This window comes from Homo sapiens, chromosome 6, assembly GCF_000001405.40.
Source record: "Homo sapiens chromosome 6, GRCh38.p14 Primary Assembly".
In the NCBI taxonomy this organism is placed as follows: Eukaryota; Metazoa; Chordata; class Mammalia; order Primates; family Hominidae; genus Homo; species Homo sapiens.
The window spans coordinates 15112097-15134980 of NC_000006.12; the positions used below are offsets into that span (position 1 = coordinate 15112097).

At 44.8% G+C, this 22884-nt stretch overlaps 1 pseudogene, besides 1 other annotated feature; it reads left to right on the forward strand.

Annotated features, from left to right (window-relative positions):
* On the forward strand, window positions 872-1125 carry RN7SL332P (RNA, 7SL, cytoplasmic 332, pseudogene; annotated as a pseudogene).
* Window positions 20327-21526: an enhancer, noted in NCBI's record as "CDK7 strongly-dependent group 2 enhancer chr6:15132654-15133853 (GRCh37/hg19 assembly coordinates)". NCBI's record gives its function as "activates an origin of replication core promoter dependent on BRD2, BRD4, P300/CBP, MED14 and CDK7 cofactors, with strong dependence on CDK7, by STARR-seq in HCT116 cells {active_cell/tissue: HCT116}" and the evidence as "EXISTENCE:reporter gene assay evidence [ECO:0000049][PMID:35650434]".

Here is a 22884-nt window from a genome sequence, read left to right on the forward strand (position 1 = left end):
TCAGCCCTCATTCACACAGCAATTAGAATAATATTGGGCTCCCCATGTAGTTCTGACCACATTTAATTGTGACCACCGTGGGCTATGAAACATTTCCAGAAATCAAAGAACCTTAGCCCAAAGTAATACTGCCTCCCAGGTTCAAGTGATACTCATGCCTCAGCCTCCACAGTAGCTGGGATTACAGATGTGCGCCACCATGCCCAACTAATTTTTTTGTATTGTTAGTAGAGGCAGGGGTCTCACCATGTTGGCCAGGCTGGTCTTGAACTCCTGACCTCAGGTAATCCACCCTGCCTCAGCCTCCCAAAGTGCTGGGATTACAGGCGTGAGCCACCGCACCCAGACTAAAATGGCAAACTTTATATTATATATATTTTACTGTAATTTTAAAAATTGTTTTAGTGGCCACATTAAGAATAATTATAAACAGCCTGGGCGTGGTGACTTACACTTGTAATCCCAGCACTTTGGCAGGCCGAGGCGGGCAGATCATTTGAGGTGGGGAGTTCGAGACCAGCCTGACCAACGTAGTGAAACCCTGTCTCTACTAAAAATACAAAAATACAAAAAAAAAAAAAAAAAATTAGCTGGGCGTGATGGCGCACACCTGTAATCTCAGCTACTTGGGAGGCTGAGGCAGGAGAATTGCTTGAATTTTGGAGGCAGAGGTTGCAGTGAGCCGAGACTGCACCACTGCATTCCAGCCTAAGTGACAGAGCGAGACTCCGTTTCAAAAGAAAAAAAAGGATAATTACAAACAGCAGTAATTCATGTTAATAATATATCTCCCTTGGCCCAATATATTCAAAACATCATTTCAACAGGCAATCAATATTATTATTGATATTGTTATTATTAATAACCACGTGCCTGTAGTCCCAGCTACCTGGGAGGCTGAGGTGGGAGGACCACTTGAGCCTAGGAGTTCTGAACTGTCACACATGATGCCGATGAGGTGTCCGCACTAAGTTCAGCATCACTATGGTGGCCTCCATGTTGCCTAAGGAGGGGTGAACCAGCCCAGGTCAGAAGTGGAGCAGGCCAAAACTCCTATGCTGATTAGTAGTGGGAGTGAGTAGCCACTGCACTCTAGACTGGGCAACATAGCCAGACCCTGTCTCTATTAGAATAAAAAATTTTAAAATATATCTATTTTGGTCAGGTGCAGTGAGTTACACCTATAATCCCAGCACTTTGGGAGTTCAAGGCAGGTGGATCACTTCAGCCCAGGAGTTCAAGACCAGCCTAGGCAACACTGCAAAAACCCATCTCTACAAAAAATACAAAAATTAGCCAAGCATGGTCGTGCGCGCCTGTGGTCCCAGCTACTTGTGAGGCTGAGGTGGGAGAATCGCTCGAGCCCAGGAGGTTGAGGCTGCAGTAAGCTATGATTGTGCCACTGCACTCCAGCCTGGGCAACACAGCAAGACCCTGTCTCATATATATATATATATATATATATATATATATATATCTCCACATATGCACACATACACACATTCTTTTTCTCATACTATGTCTTTGAATTCCAGTGTGCATTTTACACTAACAGCACAGTTCAGATATGACTAGCTACATTGCAAGGACTCAGTAGCCACTGATCACATGTGGCTACTGAACTGGACAGTGCTACTCTAGAGGAAAAAAGATCTGTGGAGAAAAAACTAAAACTGCAGCATCATTAGAGCCCTGGTCTGTCTGCTGGGGGAGCCCTTTCAAGAAAATACAACAAAAGGAAAGGGAAGGTCATGTCTGTATTGGTGAGACCAAAGCAATCACTGGAAACCTAGAACTGCAGGAAAAAGTGTTCAATAACGTGAAGAGCAGGATAATAACAATAGTTAATTGTGTCTTAAAAACTTACCATGGTTGGGCACAGTGCCTCACCTATAATCCCAGCACTTTGGGAGGCCGAGGCAAGCAGATCTCTTGAGCTCAGGAGTTGAAGACCAGCCTGGACAACATGGTAAAATCCCCATCTCTTCAAAAAATACAATAATTATCTGGGCATGGTGGCACACACCTGTAGTCCCAGCTACTTAGTAAGGCTGAGGTGGGAGGATCACTTGAGCCCAGGAGGCGGAGGTTGCAGTAAGCCAAGATTGTGCCACTGCACTTCAGCCTGGGCAGTAGAGCCAGCCTGACCTTGTCTCAGAAAAAAAAAAAAAATTGACCATGTGCCAAGCACTATTCTTTCTCACAGCTCTGTGGAGGAGATTCGCTGGTGCTAGCCTCATTTCACAGATGAGGAGACAAGCACAGAGAGGGAGTAAACTGCACAAGGACACACAGATGGTAGATGGCAGAGCTGGGGCCTCACAGTGGCTCACGCCTGTAATCCCAGCACTTTGGGAAGCGAGGTGGGCAGATCACTTGAGGTCAGCAGTTTGAGACCAGCCTGGTCAACGTGGTGAAACCCCATCTCTACTAAAAGTACAAAAAATTAGCTGGGCATGGTGGTGGCACCTGTAATCCCAGCTACCCAGGAGGCTGAGGCAGGAGAATTGCTTGGTCCCGGGAGGCAGAGGTTGCAGTGAGCTGAGGTCACTCCCCTGCACTCCAGCCTGGGTGACAAAGTGAAACTCCATCTCAAAATAAAATAAAACAAAACAAAATAAAATAAAATATGGCAGAGCTGGGATTAAAACCCAGGCAGGCAGTGGCTCCTGGGCCCGGCCACTAAGCACCCTGCTATTGTCTTGCCCTGAGTGTGCCACATTCTCCGGACATACTCCCGAGGCTGAGGAGGAAGGGACATGGCGATGGCCCAAGGGAACATCAGGGTGCTGAAACTGTCCCCATAGAGTTGAAAAGAATTGCATGCCAGGTCTGGACAGAAATAGAGTTATAGGCCAGGCATGGTGGCTCATGCCTGTAATCTCAGAACTTTGGGAGGCCGATGCAGGCGGATCACTTGAGGTCAGGAGTTTGAGACCAGAATGGCCAACATGGTGAAACCCCATCTCTAATAAAAAATACAAAAATTAGCTGGGCATGGTGGCTCACGCCTGTAGTCCCAGCTACTTGGGAGGCTGAGACAGGAGAATAGCTTGAACCCAGGAGACAGAGGTTGCAGTGAGCCGAGATCGCACCATTGCACTCCAGCCTGGGCATCGCAGCAAGACTCTGTCTCAAAAAAAAAAAGAAGTAGAGTTATTATGAAGCATTAATCAGGCTGCACTGTGGCCCACTTCCTTGTTGCTAAAAGTCATGTAGCACTAGATAGTGACCATTTGCATCCGCCTTGTTCCTAGAGACAGGATCTCTGATACTAGGGTCATACGGCTTTTGTTTAAGGATGACTTATGATGTTTTTCAGACCCAGAATTCCAGCAACTAGTTCGAAGACCCCCACAGAGGAATGGGATCAGCATGAGAATACAGCTTCTTCCTCTCCCTAGTCCTTGATTTTACCCTGCACACTCCCACCAGTCAATCATCTCCACACTTTGGCCCATTCCAAAACCCTTGCCCCAGACTCCTTGGATAGATGGTTTCCTCCTATTTCCACTTGGCAGCCCTACCATTAACCCTCTTTCTCTGCTGCAACTGAGTGTCTCAGCATGTTGACCTGCTGTGTGCTTTGGGTAACAAACCTATTACAATTACAGCACCGCTTCCTGGTACGTGGCAGGTACAGTGTCAACATTTAGAAGGAGCAGAAGTGCACGAGGAGAGAGAGAACCTGTCAACACAACAGCACCAGGAGCAGCACACATAGCGCGTCAAGGGGTCTGGGCAATGGTGTGCCATAACTACACCCGAAAGCAGCCCACCAAGGAAATGCTAGTGTCCCTGGAAGACCAGCCCAACGTGGCAGGAACACATCGTAGCCCCTAGCGTGGTCCAAGCAATAGCAGCAAGCAAGATAATAAGCAAATAAGGCAGCATCCCTGGAGACGCTGATGGCAAGGAACAGGCGCCATCAGGGGTTACAAGCAAGGCACCCACCAAGGAACTGGAAGGACAGAGAACATCCAAGAGGAATGGCTGTGAGGCAAGGCAGGATGACTGCACCAGCAGAATTTACTCCGTCACCGCCAGCCAGCGAGACCCGCAGATGCTCAGGTTAGTCAGGTGAATGGACACCAACTGCAGTTTAGGCTAGATTGTAGTGTTGAAAACTTGGAAGCATTATCTGGTGCTAGCCTCTGTCTCTCTCTCTCTCTTTTTTTTTTAGATGGAGTTTCACTCTTGTTGCCTAGGCTGGAGTACAGTGGCGCCATCTCTGCTCCCCGCAACCTCCGCCTCCCGGGTTCAAGCGATTCTCCTGTCTCAGCCTCCCAAGTAGCTGGGATTACAAGCGCACACCACCATATCTGGCTAATTTTTGTATTTTTAGTAGAGATGGGGTTTCACCACATTGGCCAGGCTGGTCTCAAACTCCCAACCTCAGGTGATCCGCCTGCCTCAGCCCCCCAAAGTGCTGGGATTACAGGCGTGAGCTACCACGTCTGGCCTGCGCTAGCCTCTCTTGAGACTAAAAGTTTTTCTCCTAGAAAACCAAACAGTAGAATTTGTTCCTGGCTGGAAAAGACCAGGATAGATGGAATTTGACCTAAAAAGTAAGTTCACTGGCATTTCTATCTCCCTCTGTGCTCTGTTCTGAAGTGCCATGAATTTTAAAAAAATAATAAAAAGCTCCCTATGTCATGATATTTCCCTATAGAATAAAGACTAGTGTGAAATAACGTTTATTTCAGGACATGGTGATGCCTCAGCCGGGGAACTTAAGACACCAAGTTTCCAGATGCTGGGTAATGGAAATCAGGTCAGGCAGTTAATAAACAGCACAGGAGTAAACAGCTTAATTTATCCTTCAAAGAGAGAAGACCCAGCCAGACCTGGGTACAGTATCTATATTGCTGGGGCGAAATTGCACTTCTGATTATCATGTCACTGCTATACAAACCCCCAGCCTCCCATGGAGCCGGCGTTTCAGAGGTGAGCCATTCCCTTTTCCATCCCAATTGTCAACTGCTCCTGTCATCACCGAGCTCACGCTGAGCCACTACTGAGCTTGACAGACAATAACAATAACAACAACAAAAAGCCCTGCCTGGAAAATTATTGTTTTTATACACAATACAGATCATTCAGTAGATGGTTTCCAAAACATCCACCCACCCACGAACACGGTCTCTAGTCCTACCCGCTTGGATCCAAGCATACCCCAAGGGTGCACAGTCCTTTACCAGGCCACTGTGGTCTTAGACCGACATCATGATTCGTAGTGTGCTTGCTTCTATTAGTGTCAGTAGAGAAGAATAAGAATGGCAGGGGAGAACAAATCCACAGAGTCCCAAGTGCAGAAATTAAAGCTGGTATGCTTTTAAATTCATTGTATTCCTCAAATAAATACATATGATGATGGAAAATTTAGAAAACACAGATGGGGGGCAGACACAGTGGCGCATGCCTATAATCCCAGCACTTTGAAAGGCTGAGGCAGGAGGATTGCTTGAGGCCAGGAGTTCAAGAGCAGCGTGTGCAACATAATGAGATCCTGTACTAGAAAAAAACTTAAAAGTTAGCCAGGGCCAAGCATGGTGGCTCATGCCTGTAATCCCAGCATTTTGGGAGGTTGAAGCGGGCAGATCGTTTGAGCTCAGGAGTTTGAGACCAGCCTGAGCAACATAGTAAGACCTCGTCCCTAGAAAAAAGATAAAAATTAGCCAGGTATGCTGGTGTGTGCCTATAGCCCCAGCCACTAGGGAGGCTGAGGTGGGAGGTTGGGTTGAGCTTGGGAGGCAGAAGTTGCAGTGAACTGAGATCACACCACTGTACTCCAGCCTGGGTGACAGAGCCAGACCCTGTCTCAAATAAATAAATAAATAAATAATTTTTTAAAAAAATTAACCAGGCGTTGTGGCATGCACCTGCTGTAGTCCTAGCTGCTCGGGAGGCTGAGACAACAGGATACTTGAGCCCAGGAATTTAAGGTAACAGTGAGCTATGATGGTGCCATCATACTCCAGCCTGGGCAACAGAGAGACCCTGTCTCAAAATAATAATAATAATAAACACAGATGGAGGGGAATATGTTTCCAGGTCAGGAAACCAATATATATTTCTGCATAATTTTATTTCAGAAGATAAGTTAACAAGATCCAGCTTCTTGGTGATTATCAAAAAGTTCATTCATACAAAGAAGAACAAAAATTAATCAGCCCAAACTATCTCCCTATGAACTTACTAAGAGCAACTGTATCTAGTGCGATGGACTCCACTGGAGTTTTCTGGGAGGTTATATCCACATGTACAAAATGGAAGGTTCCCCAGAGAGCTCACTCACATAATCCTGATTATACATGCTCAGAGCAAATAGGATAGGAAAACCAAGGAGAGCCAGTTGAAAGTAAAGGAATTGGGGATGTTAGTATCCAGGCTGGGTACCAAAAATCCAGGGCCCCTTGCTCCTTGCCATTGGTTCCTACCCTGTAGGACACAGATCCCTACGGGTTAATTGCAATGAGGTTGCAAATCCATACTCAGTAGTTTCCAGCAATAAGGTAATTAAAAGTATAACGACTATCACATGAGGCTCATTAAACTCTTTGATATTAACAAGGGGTCCTCACCCTCATAAAGTTTGAGGCCATTACTCTAGTCTGCCTTTGACTCTTAAGGCTTGAGTGCTTAAGTTATCTCCCATCTAGGTCCTATACATCCTCACTCAGAGTATGTGGTCAGGAGCCTTCACTCTCCAGGGGGCCTCAGACACCTCGCTTCTCTTTTATTTATTTATTTATTTTTTAACTTTTCTTTATTATTATTATACTTTTAAGTTTTAGGGTACATGTGCACATTGTGCAGGTTAGTTACATATGTATACATGTGCCATGCTGGTGCGCTGCACCCACTAACTCGTCATCTAGCATTAGGTATATCTCCCAATGCTATCCCTCCCCCTCCCCCCACCCCACTTCTCTTTTATTTTTAATTTAATTTTTATTTTTATTTTTTTACAAAAATAGAGACGGAGGTCTCGCTATGCTGCCCAGGTTAGTCTCAAACTTCTGGGTTCAAGAAATCCTCCCATCTCAGCCTCCCAAAGTGCTGGGATTACAGACAGGCACTGCACCCAGCCCACCTCACTTCTCAATGCAAGGCCTCAGTTTCCCCTTAACACCATCATCAGTCCCAGTGATGGCAATAAGGGGCACACATGGAATAGCTAGCCCACAAAGGTCATTTTAGGAGTAGTGGGATAATATGTGCCCATTCCCTAGAGACATTCATTTCAAAAAACAATGTTACCTTAATGATGTCGAGTTTTCCCAAGAACTCCAATTATAGCCCGCCACTCCAATTAACACATCACTTGCCAAATACGTATCCAAACGGATTTTCTAATCACAGAAAAGCTATTGCAAGTGAAGCAAATGGATAATTTCTTACATAGAATTAGGTTCTCAAGATTTATGGGGTCTTTTGGGGGTTTTTTTGAGACTGAGTTTCACTCTTGTTGCCCAGGCTAGAGTGCAATGGTGTGATCTCGGCTCACCGCAACCTCCATCTCCCAGGTTCAAGCGATTCTCCTGCGTCAGCCTCCTGAGTAGCTGGGATGACAGGCCCCTGCCACCACACCCAGCTAATTTTTGTATTTTTAGTAGAGACGGGGTTTTGCCATGTTGACCAGGCTGGTCTCGAACTGCTGACCTCACGTGATCCGCCTGCCTCAGCCTCCCAAAGTGCTGGGATTACAGGCATGAGCCACTGCACCTGGTCAAGATTTATGTCTTCTATTTCCATGTCTGTCATCAGAGTCTTATCTATTTGTCCAGTCTCAGATTCTCAAGATGCAAAAATGGATTAAAAATTCACTCCATTGAGAATGTTTGCAATTTTTTAGGGATGCTATAAATACAAAGTACGTTTATATTATCAGGTTTATATTATATCACAATGTAAAATTTTGTAGACAATATGAAATAAGCATTTGAAAAAGAACTAAAATATTTATTTAAAATATACCAGATAAAAGATATATTTTATTATTTTTCGACCTATAAAAGCTAACCATGTCAACTTAAGCTAGAAAATTGCTGGCCAAATATTACATAGTATTTTGTCCCTGAGACGTCAGCCAGCAGAAAATTATAGAAAAGAATAAGATCTGATGTCAGAGACGTGGGTTCAAACCTCAGCTGTGTCACTCACAGACCTCCATATTGGGTTAACTTGTTTTCCTCATTTCTAAATCATAATAATCACAATACTGCAAAGAGGATTGAATGTAATAATGCAAGCAGAAGCAAAGACGCTGTGGAAATATTCTCTATTAGAGAGAATATTGGAAGGCTGAGGCAGGAGGATTTCTTGAGGCCAGGAGTTCCAGGGCAGCCTGGACAACATAGTGAGACCCTGTACTATGAAAAATTTAAAAGAAAGCCTGGCGGCTCACACCTGTAATCCCAGCACTTTGGTATTACAGTCTAGCCAGCTAGTCAAGAACCAGAACTAACCTTAACCACCGGGCATGGTGGCTCACGCCTATAATCCCAGCACTTTGGGAGGCCGAGGCAGGCGGATCACCTGAGGTTGGGAGTTCAAGACCACCCTGACCAACATGGAGAAACCCCGTCTCTACTAAAAGTACAAAATTAGCAGGTTGTGGTGGCACATGCCTGTAATCCCAGCTACTTGGGAGGCCGAGGCAGGAGAATCACTTGAACCCAGGAGGCGGAGGTTGTGGTGAGCCGGAGATTGTGTCATTGCACTCCAGCCTGGGCAACAAGAGCAAACCTCCATCTCAAAAAAAAAAAAAAAAAAAAGAAGAAACCTTAACTAGGGTGACGTGTGGGCAGTGGGGGAAACACCCCCAATCCTACTGGAAACGTCTGCCGCCTCTGCACCCCTCTTACCATGAGGATGCCCCATTGAGAGAAACAAAAAGTAGCTCCCCACAAAAGAGCTTGTACAAAAGATACGTCTTCACCATAAATCCCTTAATGCTGGCTTAGCAGTTGACATGTGCTCAAATATTTTTTTAATAAAAACCCACCATCAGAATCATGTGATAGACTCAAAAAACTCACTGCTTAGTTCTTACCAGGATTGTCATCTCATATCTTGCAAACAAAAGAAATAAAATAGCATATTTGTTCTAAAAAAGCATCCTTGTATCCCTCATCGTTACCATTTGTCTTATTACCTACACCCTGCTTGCACTTGCTATGCCCACCAAGGTCACAGACATGACCCTTTGCCTGCCTCATTGTAATAGAGTTCATCCCTGGGTGCTTCTCAGAGTTGTACAGAAGTAAAAAACAAACACAAAAAAACTGTATCTAAGTAACATATTTTTAAAATATTAACACAAAACTCTGAATTTTAGAACATATAGAGGCCCTGAGGTCAAACATCTTCCCTCAACATATGTTATTACCATTCAAGTTACAATCAATTTGGGTTACTGGAGGTTACTATAGATCCAGCTTCCAACCAAAAGGAGCTTCTCATCTGATGCTTTTCTATGCAGTGTTTTGTGGTTTTTTTGGTTTGTTTGTTTTTTGGTTTTGCATTCATTTTTTTAGAGACAGAGTCTCATCCTGTTGCCCATGTTGGAGTGCAGTGGTGCTATCACAGTTCACTGTAACCTCTAATTCCTGGGCTCAAGTGATCCTCCCACCTCAGCCTCAGAAAGAAAGATGTAATCATTATAAACATTCAAAAATAAGACAATTTTTTTCATAACCTCACCAACCGAAGATAGCCATTAGTATTTTTGCCACAGATACTTAGTCTTTTTCTTCCTATGCAAGAATATGCATTCTTTAACAATAATACAATCATATGCATACGTGTATTTAACCTTTTTTGAATTTTTTTTTTCTTTTTTGAGACAAGGTCTGGCTCTGTTGCCCAGGGTGGGTTTCAATGGCACTATCTCAGCTCACTGCAACCTCTGCCTCCTAACCTCAAGTGATCTGCCCACTTTGGCCTCCCAAAGTGCTGGGATTACAGGCGTGAGACACTATGCCTGGCTTAACCTTTTTTTTTTTTTTAATTTTAATAACAGCATAGTGTCAGCATTTTTCCATGTCATGAAAATGTCCTTCCTCAGCACTATTTTAAATGATGCTTTGGCATCCCACTATACGGACTTACTGTGTGTTATTTAACCAACCCTCTGTGGCTGAGCCTTTAAGTTGTTTCAAACTTTCATTATTATAAACAATACTAAGATGGACATCCTTGCAGCTAAAACTTTGGGGACATCCACAGTTATCTCCTCAGGATAAGTTACAGTAGCAAAATTGCTGAGTCAAGAGGTATACAAAAATTTGACTTTGACATTGATATGGTTTGGCTGTGTCCCCACCCAAATCTCATCTTGAATTGTAACTTCCACAGTTTGAACCGGGTGGGAGGTGATTGAATCATGGGAGCGGGGCTTTCCTAACGTTGTTCTTGTGATACTGAATGAGTCTCATGATATCTGACGGTTTTTTGTCTTTCTTTTTTTTTTAGAGGGAGTTTCGCTCTTGTCGCCCAGGCTGGAGGGCAATGGCTCAATCTCCTGTCACTGCAACCTCTGCCTCCTGGGTTCAACTGATTGTTCTGCCTCAGCCTTCTGAGTACCTGGGATTAGAGGCGCCCACCACCACGCCTGGCTAATTTTTGTATTTTTAGTAGAGACTGGGTTTCACCATTTAGCCGGGCTGGTCTTGAACTCCTGACCTCAGGTGATCTGCCTGCCTCAGCCTCCCAAAGTGCTGGGATTACAGGCATGAGCCACAACACCCGGCTAATCTGATGGTTTATCAGGGGTTTCCGCTTTTGCATCTTCCTCATTTTCTCTTGCCGCTGCCATGTAAGAGGTGCCTTTCACCTCCCACCATGATTCTGAAGCCTCCCCAGCCATGTGGAACTGTAAGTCCAGTTAAACCTCTTTTTCTTCCCAGTCTTGGGTATGGCTTTATCAGCAGCATGAAAACGGACTAATACAGATGTATACCTTTGCATTTTGGTTTTCCAAAGCAAGATTCAGAAGTCTTTGAATAAGCAAAGAAACCTCAAAAGTACTTTGTGACTATCATTCATTGAAACTAAACACTAGTGTAGTCCTGTTTCATCTCTCATTGATGGACACATAGGAAGAACTGAGGAGGAAAATGTGTTATTCAACCTAACAACTATTTAATAATTTGTCATAATCTGGCACACAGCAATTCCTTAATCAATGTTTCTTCAGTGGGCCCCAGGCCCCTTCTCTCATTAGGCCTATTCTTTTTTTCTTTTAATTTTTTTTATGTCAATAGCTTTAGAAATACAAGTGGTTTTTGGTTGCATGTATGAATTCTATAGTGGTGTACACTGTACCCAATAAGCCCCATTTTTTTTTTCTTAAATGGAGTCCTGCTCTTGTTGCCCAGGCTAGAGTGCAACGGCACGATCTCAGCTCACTGCAACCTCCACCCCCTGGGTTCAAGCGATTCTCCTGCCTCAGCCTCCCAAGTAGCTGGGATTACAGGCGCCTGCCACCACACCTGGCTATTTTTGTATTTTTAGTAGAGACGGGGTTTCACCATGTTAGCCAGGCTGGTCTCGAACCCTTGACCTTGTGATCCACCCACCTCAGGCTTCCAAAGTGTTGGGATTACAGGCGTGAGCCACCACGCCTGGCCAAACTCCATTCTTGTGGTGGAGCAGTATCTGCATGGTCTCATAGCATGTCCTATACCAAAAGAAATATGAGTCAGTTTTCTCTGACCAAGTTTTCCTCAGAACTCTCTACATATACACAAAACCAAAATAAACCTCTAAATATAGTCCCAGTAAATGTCCCATCCAATGTCTTAGAACTAGTTTTTAATATCACCCATAGGGACTTACTCTCTACTCAGGGGTGTCCAATCTTTTTACTTCCTTGGGCCACATTGGAAGAATAATTATCTTGGGCCACACATAAAATACACTAATGGCTGGGTGCAGTGGCTCACACCTGTAATCCTAGCACTTTGGGAAGCTGAGGCAGGTGGATCACTTGAGCTCAGGAGTTTGAGACCATCCTGCGCAACACGGCAAAACTTCATCTCTACTAAAATACAAAAATTAGCTGGGTGCGGTGGCGCATGCCTGTAATCCCAGCTACTCTGGAGGCTGAGGCAGAAGGATCACTTGAACCCAAGAGGTGGAGGTTGCAGTGAGCAGAGATCACACCACTACACTCTAGCCTGGGCTACAGGGCAAGACTCTGTGTCTAAAAACTAATTAATTGGCCAGGTGCAGTGGCTCCCACCTGTAATCCCAGCACTTTGGGAGGCTGAGGTGGGAGGATCACTTGAGGTCAGGAGTTCGAGACCAGCCTGGCCAACATGATGCAACCCCGTGTCTCCTAAAAATATAAAATTAGCTGGCATGGTGGCGGGGGCCTGTAATCCCAGCTACTTGGGATGCTGAGGCAGGAGAATTGCTTGAACCTCGGAGGCAGAGGTTGCAGTGTACCACGATCACGCCACTGTACTCCAGCCTAGGCAACAGAGCAATACTCCATCTCAAAAAAATAGTAATTAATTAATGACTTAATTTAATTTACTTTAATACATTAACACTAACAATAGCTGACGAGCTTTTAAAAAAATCTCAAAAAGACACATAATTTTTAAATAATGTTTACAAATTTGTGTCAAGTCCCATTCAAAGCATTCCTGGGCCACATGCGGCCTGCAGGCCACAGGTTGGACAAGCTTGTTCTACATGCTTATGCACAGGGGTCATGAAACAAGATCCAGCCAGTCGCAGTGGTTCATGCCTTGTAACCCCAGCACTTTGGGAAGCCAAGGCAGGTAGATCGCTTGAGCCCAGGAGTTCAAGGCAGAACCTAAAACCCTAGCTCTGCAAAAAATAAAAAAATTAGCCAGTGTACTGGTGCACACCTGTAGTCCCAGCTACTAGGGAGGAGGAAAACTTGACCCCAGGAGTTCGAGGCTGCAGTGAGCTGTGATCACGCCACTGCACTCCAGCCTCGGTGACACAGCAAGAACCTATCTAAGAAAGAAAGGAAGAAAGAAAGAAAAAGAAAGAAAGGAAGGAAGGAAGGAAGGAAGGAAGGAAGGAAGGAAGGAAGGGAAAGAAAGAAAGGAGGAAGGAAGGAAGAAAGGAAGGAAGGAAGAAAGGAAGAAAGAAAGAGATAGAGAGAGAAAGAGAGAGAGAGAAAGAAAGGAAGGAAGGAAGAAAGAAAGAAAAAGAAAGAAAGAAAGAAAAGAAAGAAAGAAAGAAAAGAAAGAAAGAAAGAAAGAAAGAAAGAAAGAAAGAAAGAAAGAAAGAAAGAAAGAAAGGGAAATAATATCCTCTATATAAATCTGGAAGGACCAAAAGTTAAATTATGCTCACCTTTCCTGATTAAATTCAACTGTGAAAAAAACCCTATAATATTAGAATTAATAAGTAGTTTGACTGATGTTTCAGAATTATTGCTAATGTAAATGCCCAAATGTCCCTTGCTATACATGCGGCTACATCTTTATCACCCTGAAATTGCTACCCTAACACTCTTTCTCTCCTGCTGTTTTCAAGGAGTAAGAGAGAAAGGATTGGTAGTAAAAAGAATGAAGGGGACAGTTCAAGATTTAGGAAAGTTTGACATCTTTTCCATGATCAGAAAGTGGAGTTTTTTGGTTTTTTGGTTTTTTTTTTTTTTTTGAGACGGAGTCTCGCTCTGTCACCAGGCTGGAGTGCAGTGGCGCATCTCGGCTCACTGCAACCTCCGCCTCCCGGGTTCAAGCAATTCTCCTGCCTCAGCCTCCGGAGTAGCTGGGACTACAGGTGAGCGCCACCACGCACAGCTAATTTTTGTACTTTTAGTAGAGACGGGGTTTCACCATGTTAGCCAGAATGGTCTCAATCTCTTGACCTCATGATCCGCCGACCTCAGCCTCCCAAAGTGCTGGGATTACAGGCGTGAGCCACCGCACCCGGCCAAGTTTTTTGGTTTTCCGTTTTGTTTTTTGAGACAGAGTCTGTCTTGTTGCCCAGACTGGATTGCCCAGACTGGACTGCAATGGCTCCATCACAACTCACTGCAGCCTTGACCTCCTGGGCTAAAGTGATCCTCCCATATCAGCCTCCTAAGTAGCTGAGACTACAGTGGTGCATTACCACCTGTAGCTAATTTCTAAATTTTTTTAGGGATGGGGTCTCATCATGTTGTCCAGGCTAGTCTCGACCTCTTGAGCTCAAGCAATTCTCCCACCTTAGCCTCCCAAAGTGCTGGGATTACAAGCGTAAGCCACCATTCCCACCCCAAAAAGTGATTTTTCGGATCACGAAGTCAGGAGATCGAGACCATACTGGCTAACATGGTGAAACACCGTCTCTACTAAAAATACAGAAAAAAAATTAGCTGGGCGTGGTGGCGGGCGACTGTAGTCCCAGCTACTCCGGAGGCTGAGGCAGGAGAATGGCGTGAACCCAGGAGGTGGAGCTTGCAGTGAGCCGAGATTGCACCACTGCACTCCAGCCTGGGCGACAGAGCCAGACTCCATCTCAAAAAAAAAAAAAAGTGATTCTTTCTTTCTTTCTTTCTTTCTTTCTTTCTTTCTTTCTTTCTTTCTTTCTTTCCTTCCTTCCTTCCTTCTCTCCTTTCTTTCTTTCCTTCCTTCCTTTCTTTCTTCCTTTTCTTTTCCTTCCTTTCTTTCTTTCTCTTTCTTTCTCTCTCTTTCTTTCTTTCTTTCCTTTCTTTCTTTCTTCCTTTTTTCCTTCCCTCCTTCCCTCCTTCCTTCCTTTCTTCCTTCCTTTTTTTTTTTTTTTGAGGGAGTCTCACACTGTTGCCCAGGCTGAAGTGCAGTGGCACCATCTCAGCTCACTGCAACCTCCGCCTCCCAGGTTGAAGCAGTTCTCCTGCCTCTGCTTCCCAAGTAGCTGGGATTACAGGTGCGTGCCATCACGCCTGGCTAATTTTTGTATTTTTAGTAGAGATGGGGTTTCACCATGTTGGCCAGGCTGGTCTCAAACTCCTGACCTCAGGTGATTTGCCTGCCTCGACCTCCCAAAGTGCTGGGATTTACAGGCGTGAGCCACTGCGCCCACTCCAAAAAGTGATTTTTAAAAGTATCAGGGCTGAGCACGGTGGCTCATGCCTATAATCCCAGTACTTTGGGAGGCCAAGGCAGGCTGATCACTTGAGCTCAGGAGTTTGAGACCAGCCTGGGCAACATAGTGAGACCCTATCTCTACTAAAATTACAAAAATTAGCCAGACATGGTGGTGGTCACCTTTAATCCAAGCTACTCAGGAGGCTGAAGCATGAGAATTGCTTGAACACGAAAGGTGGAGGTTGCAGTGAGCCAGGATCACTCCACTGCACTCCAGCCTGGGCAACACAGAGACACCCTGTCTCAAAAAAAAAAGTACCACCTTGGCAATAACTTGATCATTTGGAAGACATTATCCTTCCCATAAGAGCATAAATTTAATACAGAAAAAACATTGTCAGGCCGTGCATGGTGCCTCATGTCTACAATCCCAGCAGTTTGGTAGGCTGAGGTGCCTTGGGAGGATCCCTTGAGCCCAGGAGTTTGAGACCAGCCTGGGCTACATGGTGAAACCCCATCTCTACAAAGAATACAGAAAGGCCGGGTGCGGTGGCTCAGGCCTGTAATCCCAGCACTTTGGGAGGCCGAGGCGGGCAGATCACCTGAGGTTGGGAGTTTGAGACCAGCCTGACCAACGTGGAAAAACCCTGTCTCTACTAAAAATATAAAATTAGCTGGGCGTGGTGGTGCATGCCTGTAATCCCAGCTACTCTGGAGGCTGAGGCAGGAGAATCGCTTGAACCTGGAAGGCGAAGTTTGCTGTGAACCAAGATCGTGCCATTGCACTCCAGCCTGGGCAACAAGGGCAAAAACTCCATCTCAAAAAAAAAGAATACAAAAAAAATTAGCCGGGCACGGTGGCATGTGCCTGTAGTCCCAACTACTTGGGAGGCTGAGGAGGTAGGATCACTTGAGCCAGGGGAGGTCGAGTCTGCACTGAGCCAAGATCGTGCCACTACATTCCAGTCTGAGCAACAGAGTAAGACCCTGTCTCAAGAAATAAATATAAGCAAAAAAAAAAAAAAAAAAAAGAAGAAGAAGAAGAAGAAGAAAGAAAGAAAAACTTTGTCATAGGGTGTCAGAACAAGTTACTACTGAATGGCCACTGAACAGGGCCATGGAGGGGGCTCACATTTGTGTATATTTGAAATCACAGGCTAGCTGCCATGGCAAAACTCTGTGCTTGGAAAGAGAACTAGGGTCATAGTTGTGTGGAAACTGAGGTTCTCTTAGGACCATGGGGACCACACAGCCCATGAGTAGATACCAAGTTCCCAATCCAGCTGGGTGCTGAGGAATCCTGAGTTAAACTGTGAGCCACTTAAGGGCAATGTTGGGGCTCAGAAAGCAATACCCCAAATGAAGGCTTCAAAAGAGTTTCTCTTAGCTTCTCCTGCCTTCCTGTCTCCAGCCCCTCATTCTCCCCCTGGGCTAGCCATAGAAACTAGAATCTCTCTTCCTCAAAGTGGATCATAGAAACCAGAACCCCTTTTTCCCCAAACCAGCCATAAAACCTACAAATATTACTCTAATTTTCCCCTGCCTTTCTGTGTAAAAACTGGTCATAAAGAAATTATCTGGGCTGGGCGCAGTGGCTCACGCCTGTAATCCTAAGACTTTGGGAGGCCAAGGTGGGCAGATCACCTGAGGTCAGGAGTTTGAGATCAACCTGGCCAACATAGTGAAAATCTGTCTCTACTAAAAATACAAAAAATTAGCTGGGTGTGGTGGCACGTGCCTGTAATCCCAGCTACTTGAGAAGCTGAGGCAGGAGAATCCCTTGAACCTGGGAGGCAGAGGTTGCAGTGAGCTGAGATCGCGCCGTTGCACTCCAACCTGGGCAACAAGAGCAAAACTCTGTCTCAGAAAAAAAAAAAAGAAAGAAAACAAAAGAAATTATCTGACCTATCTTGTTTGACTGTAGGTCATAAGACCCCCATTCCAGAGACAGCCAGGCCCCATTCCCACAAGGAAGGAATGCTGCATAGAGAACCCAAGAAGAATCTAAACAGACAGGCCCTGCTGGGCTTCCCCACTCAGTCTATTAGCACAGATTAATTATAATGACTTCTGGCCAATCATTATTTCGACATGGCTGTGCATACTTTGTTGAGCCCAAGCATAAAAATAGACAGTTTCGGCCGGGCGCGGTGACTCACGTCTATAATCCTAGCACTTTGGGAGGTCGAGGCGGGTGGATCACCTGAGGTCAGGAGTTCAAGACCAGCCTGGACAACATGGTGAAACCCCGTCTTTACAAAAAAATACAAAAATTAGCCAGGCATGATGGCGGGTGCCTGTAATCCCAGGTACTCAGAAGGCTGAGGTAGGAGAATCACTTGAACTCGGGAAGCAGAGGTTGCAGTGAACCGAGGTCATGCCACTGCACTCCAGCCTGGGCAATTGAGCGAGACTCCATCTCAAAAAAAAAAAAAAAAAAAATAGGCAATTTCCCCTATATCTTTGGTTCTTCATTCTGAAGTCTCCTGTGTCATGAAAAACTATGATTAAATAAATTAGTATGCCTTTTCTCCTATAAATTGGCCTTTTGTGAGTTGATTTTTCAGCAAACCTTCAGAGGACAAAGAAGTGTTCCCTGCTTGTCCCTACAGCAAGGAGCCGAACTTACCCATCCTTGCAACCACTGTCCCTAGCACAGGGCCTAACACTGGATGAATGAACTAAAGCACCATCAAAAGTTTCACCTGCTGGAAGATGAGCTTCCCCAATGCTAAAAGATCTTTCAGGACAGCAATAGCCATCACAGCTGTTTCCCAAGACCTGAACTTGCCTCTGTTGACCACTAAGGATTAGCCCTTGGGAAAACACTGGAACATTAGAATCCCTTCTTTGCATTCAACACCGCCTCCTCCTTTTTGCTGCTTTTCCTCCTAAGAATGCAGAGCCCTAATTTTGCCTGGGCCCCCTGTTGGGCCCACGGTCCACTGAGGCCCGCCGGCACTCTGACATTTGCTCACCAAAACAAAATCCTGTTTTCTCAGAACTTCATTTGCAGGGGAGGAACAGATACAGTCACACTTGTGTTTCAATTTCAGTTAACCTCACTGAACTGTAATTTCCTCATCTGTAAAAAGGGTAATATTTCTTTCCAACATCAAGTTATATAAACTACTTCACATAGGGCCTAACAGTACTTAATAAGTAGCAGCTAGTACTGTTATAATTAAAGACAACAAAGGAATCCCAGCAATACAGATGGGTGAAGGAAAGGAGAAGTTGAGGAAGTCTCTTTTAGAAATAGCTAAATCAGGTCGGGCTTGGTGGCTCATGCCTGTAATCCCATCACTTTGGGAGGCTGTGGCGGGCAGATCACTTGAGGTCAGAAGTTCGAGACCAGCCTGGCCAACATGGTAAAACCCCATCTCTACTAAAAATACAAAAATTAGCCGGGTGTGGTGATGAATGCTTGTAATTCCAGCTACTTGAGAGGCTGAGGATAGAGAATCGCTTGAACCCAGGAGGCAGAGGTTGCAGCGAGCTGAGATGGCACCACTACAGTCCAGCCTGGACAACAGAGTGAGACTCCTTCTCAAAAAAAAAAAAAAGGAAAAATAGCTAAGTCAGTAGATAGAAGAAATAAGACCTAGTGTTTGATAAATTAGTAGAGTGGCTACAATAAACAATAATCTATTGTATATTTTTAAATAGCTAGCAGAGAATACTTCAAATGTGCCCAGTATAAAGAAAAGAAAAATGTATGAGGTGATAGGTATTCCAATTACTCTAATTTGATTATTACACATTATATAAATGTATCAAAACATCACACGTACCCCACAAATATGTACATCTATTAAGCATCGGTAAGAAACAATGGCTGGAGGCCGGGCTCAGTGGCTAATGCCTGTAATCCCAGCACTTTGGGAGGCCGAGGCGGGCAGATCACCTGAGGTCAGGAGTTCAAGACCAGTCTGGTCAACATGGTGAAACCCCATCTCTACTAAAAATACAAAAATTAGGTGAGCGTACTGGTGTGTGCCTGTAGTCCCAGCTACTCGGGAGGCTGAGGCAGGAGCATTGCTTGAACCCAGGAGGCGAAGGTTGCAGTAAGCTGAGATCACGCCATTGCACTCCAGCCTGGGCAACAGAGCAAGACTCCATCTCAAAAAAAAAAAAAAAATGGCTGGGTGTGATGGCTCACAGCTCATGTCTCTACTCCCAGGACTTTGGGAGGCCGAGGTAGGAGGATCACTTGAGCCTAGGAGTTTGAGACCAGCCTGGGCAACATAGTGAGACCGCCATCTCTTAAAAAAAAAATAGCTGAGTCAGATCTTGATTTTTTTATCTAAGCCAATTAAAGTGATCATGACAGGATGGTGATAGACATAGTGAGTAGTCTGTGAGAAGGAAATCATATTTTTGAAGGGATGGCTAATGCTTTAGGTTCAAATTCAGTGTTTAGTGGAAAAATTTTCAAAAAAAGAGAAACCCAAGTCATCTTAACACAGTCTCTCTGTCTCTGTCTCTCTCTCTTTCTTTCTGTGTCTTTCTCTCTGTCTCACTCTCTCTCTCACACACACACACACACACACACACACACAGACACGGAGCTTTCAGGCATCCTTGAAGTCGATAAAATTGTGACCCTAATACATTAAGAAAAATGCCCTAAACCAGCCAAGAGTGAAAATAAACATGACTGAGCAATAAATTATGATCTCCTTCACTCTCCTTCTACCTCCCACATACTTGCGTTTTGCATGGGGAAAAATACAGTCCATATGGAGGCTTTGGCGTGATCAGGACCCACCTCCCGCCCTCTGCACACATGCACGCCCTCCCCCAGGTGACTCCAGGCCCGTGCATCCAGGGGCACTGCATAAACATTAGCTGATGCAGATGGAATGAGCAGATGTCTGCAGTCCCCCCACCCCAGGCTGTGAGGGACAGCCAGTGAGGGTGAAGAGGAGGCGTAGAGGGAAACAGATGCCCTGGTTTCCAGCCCATTTTCCTGGTCCTTAAGTGGCAGTGGTAATGGTGGGAAGAAGCGCTCATTCTGACATTTGATGAACCCCCGCCTCCTTGTGCCTTTTTCTATACCATAGCCCTCAGATCTAGGCAAAATATTGGAGCCAAAGCAGATTGGGGTTCTAATCCTATCCATCCACACGACTAACAAGAAAGCCAGGGCCCAGAGCCTTCAAAAGACTTGACCAACCTCATATACTAGCCTATTGCAGAACCAAAAACAGATTCTAAGTCTTCTCCCTTCTAGACCAGTTCTGCTTTTTCGCATTCTCCTGCTCCCATTGTATGACCCAAGATTAATTATCCAACTTCTCATTAAACAGTATGTGCCAGGCATTGTGGTGGGCATTGGAAACAGTAAGATTCTCCGATAGTGATAATAAAATATTTCTCTGAAGATGCAAAAAAAAAAAAAATTATTCTGAGAGATTGTTGCCAGTTAACATCAAACACCTACTACGTGCCAAGTTCAGTACTATGTGCCAGAAAAGAATAAAATGGATAAGACACTCTTCCTCCTCTCCTTGGGATTCTCCTGGTTTAGACTAGATTCTACTGAGATGGATAAACAGAGAGGAGACTCAGACCATGAATGAACATGGAATAAACACAGATAACAAATAGACATGATTAAATATTTAGATTATGTATTGGCCAGGGGTTAAGTGGATTAATGGAGTGATGAGTTGGGCAGAGTTATGGGATTTCCATGTTTAGACAGAGTGGATTAGGTCGTCTAGTGTATGGAAATGCAAATCGAAACTGCTATAATCAGCATTAACACCCTGTATTCATCTCTAGAGGTGCCTTTCTGTCAAAGGGCGGAAGGAGCAGGACAGACAATGTCTCACCATCTTTATGACATCCTAGTGAGTCAGAGAACCAACACTGTAATTCCCAGGCTCCTGGGGAGGAATCAGATCCAGGGCAGGGAGTGGGAAAGTCAAGAGCCTCTCAAATCTAGTCCTGGCTCCTGTTCACCTCCAGTCCAAATGCCTCCCTGGAACACTTAGGCAATCCAAACAGGCACCAACATGATGATTCATTGTACTACAGCCCTTTTGATCTTTTCCTCAAAGGAAGAGACATTGTGAGTTACCTTGTAATTATTTCTCAAGTCCTTGAAACATGTCTGGGATTCTGTATAGAGCATAAGTTTCTTAAGGGCAGGGACCCATTTTGAATGACCCTAGTCACTTTGCAGCATAACCAGGAAGCCCTGAAGATGCGGCAGCTGTTCTCTACTTTCTTGCTGAATGAGCAAATGCTCTAAAGAGAAGTAACAGAAGAAAAAGATGGTTGTGCCATTGACCAGATGCCGTTCTCGTTGCCCATTCATTTCCTGCCCGCCCTGCACACATCCTGCCCCTAGGAAGCCTGCTCCTGAAACAAGTCTCTACCCGGTCAGTGATTCATTGAGATGTCCCTGAAATCACTTGCTTGACTCCATGTCAACAGAAAGAAAAAGGGGCTATTCATGAATAAGAGTGAGAAGCACCTGAAGGTCTTGCTACTTTGTTTTTATGGAGAGGATTCCATAATCATATTTTCATGGGCATCCCACAGTGTTGCTTGCGAAAAATAAGAGCTTAGGCCTAAGCTCTTGGTTTTGGCTCCAAACGTGAGCTTACTCCCTCCATAACGTTCCTCCCAAACCTGACCCCCATTCACTAGCCAGATAAATGGGAAAGCAAAGTGCTGTGCATGTTTTTTTTTTTTTTTTTTTAATTATTAACCTTTTGTTTCTTCATAGCATCCTGTTGCTTGTGTGCTTTTTGGTTTGGTGGGGGGTTTCAGACAGGGTCTCACTCTGTTGCCCAGGCTGGAGTGCAGTGGTGCGATCTCCACTCACTGCAGCCTTGACCTCTAGGGCTCAAGCAATGCTCCCACCTCAGCCTCCCACATGCCACCATGCCCAGCTAATTTTTTTCTCTTTTTTTTTAGTTTTTTATAAAGACGGGGTCTCCCTATATTGCCCAGGCTGGTCTGAATTTCCTGGGCTCAAGTGATCCTCCTGCCTCGGCCTCCCAAAGTGCTGAGATTACAGGCGTGAGCCACCATGCTCAGCCCATGTTACTTCTTCATAGCATCATCGGACGTCTTGTCTGTCATCTAGGCCTCTATCATGGATGAATGCTAATTTACAAAGCAGTTCTAGGAGTGATAAAATCTGGGCATGGTGGAGTGCGGGGTAGACAGTGGAGAGCGCTGGGTGTGACTCCAGATCCTGATGCTGCATTAGACACATGACAATCTGCATATGTTAAATAGCCTAAATTATCCATTCTACGAGGTATTCACATCTCAGAGCATGACGTAACACTCTCCTAATGCGATGGATCCTCACCTGGGCTTCCTGATTCCTGGGAGGTGACAAAGGTAGTGGTCTGCAAGCTATATATATTTTTTAATTTCTCAAATTAGGAAACCAGGATTTTGTCTCTAATGCCTTCAACTGCCCCACACAACAAATTCTGGTTATTCCATATAATGAATCCCTAAGGGCCTCTTTAAATTTGACCCTCTTCCCATGGATCCTGTGTTTTAAACAGTCCTATCAATAAAAAAAACAAAAACAAAACAACAACGAAAGCAGCATCATGTTAAATGCTATAACGATATACAAGTTTTACTTGTCAGCTAAGATAAAGAAATAAATAAGTGGCATTCTATAATCATAATTTAAGAAGAAATATCACAACCTTCTAATGCAACCCTTCTAATTTACAGGTGAGAGAAGCTGAGACCCTGAGATATTAAATAACCTACCTTTCAACCCAGGCTTTAGTGCCTCACCTCCCAAAGAGGGAACTGTTCTAGTCAATTGCAAAAGTCTATTTCAGCTCCATTC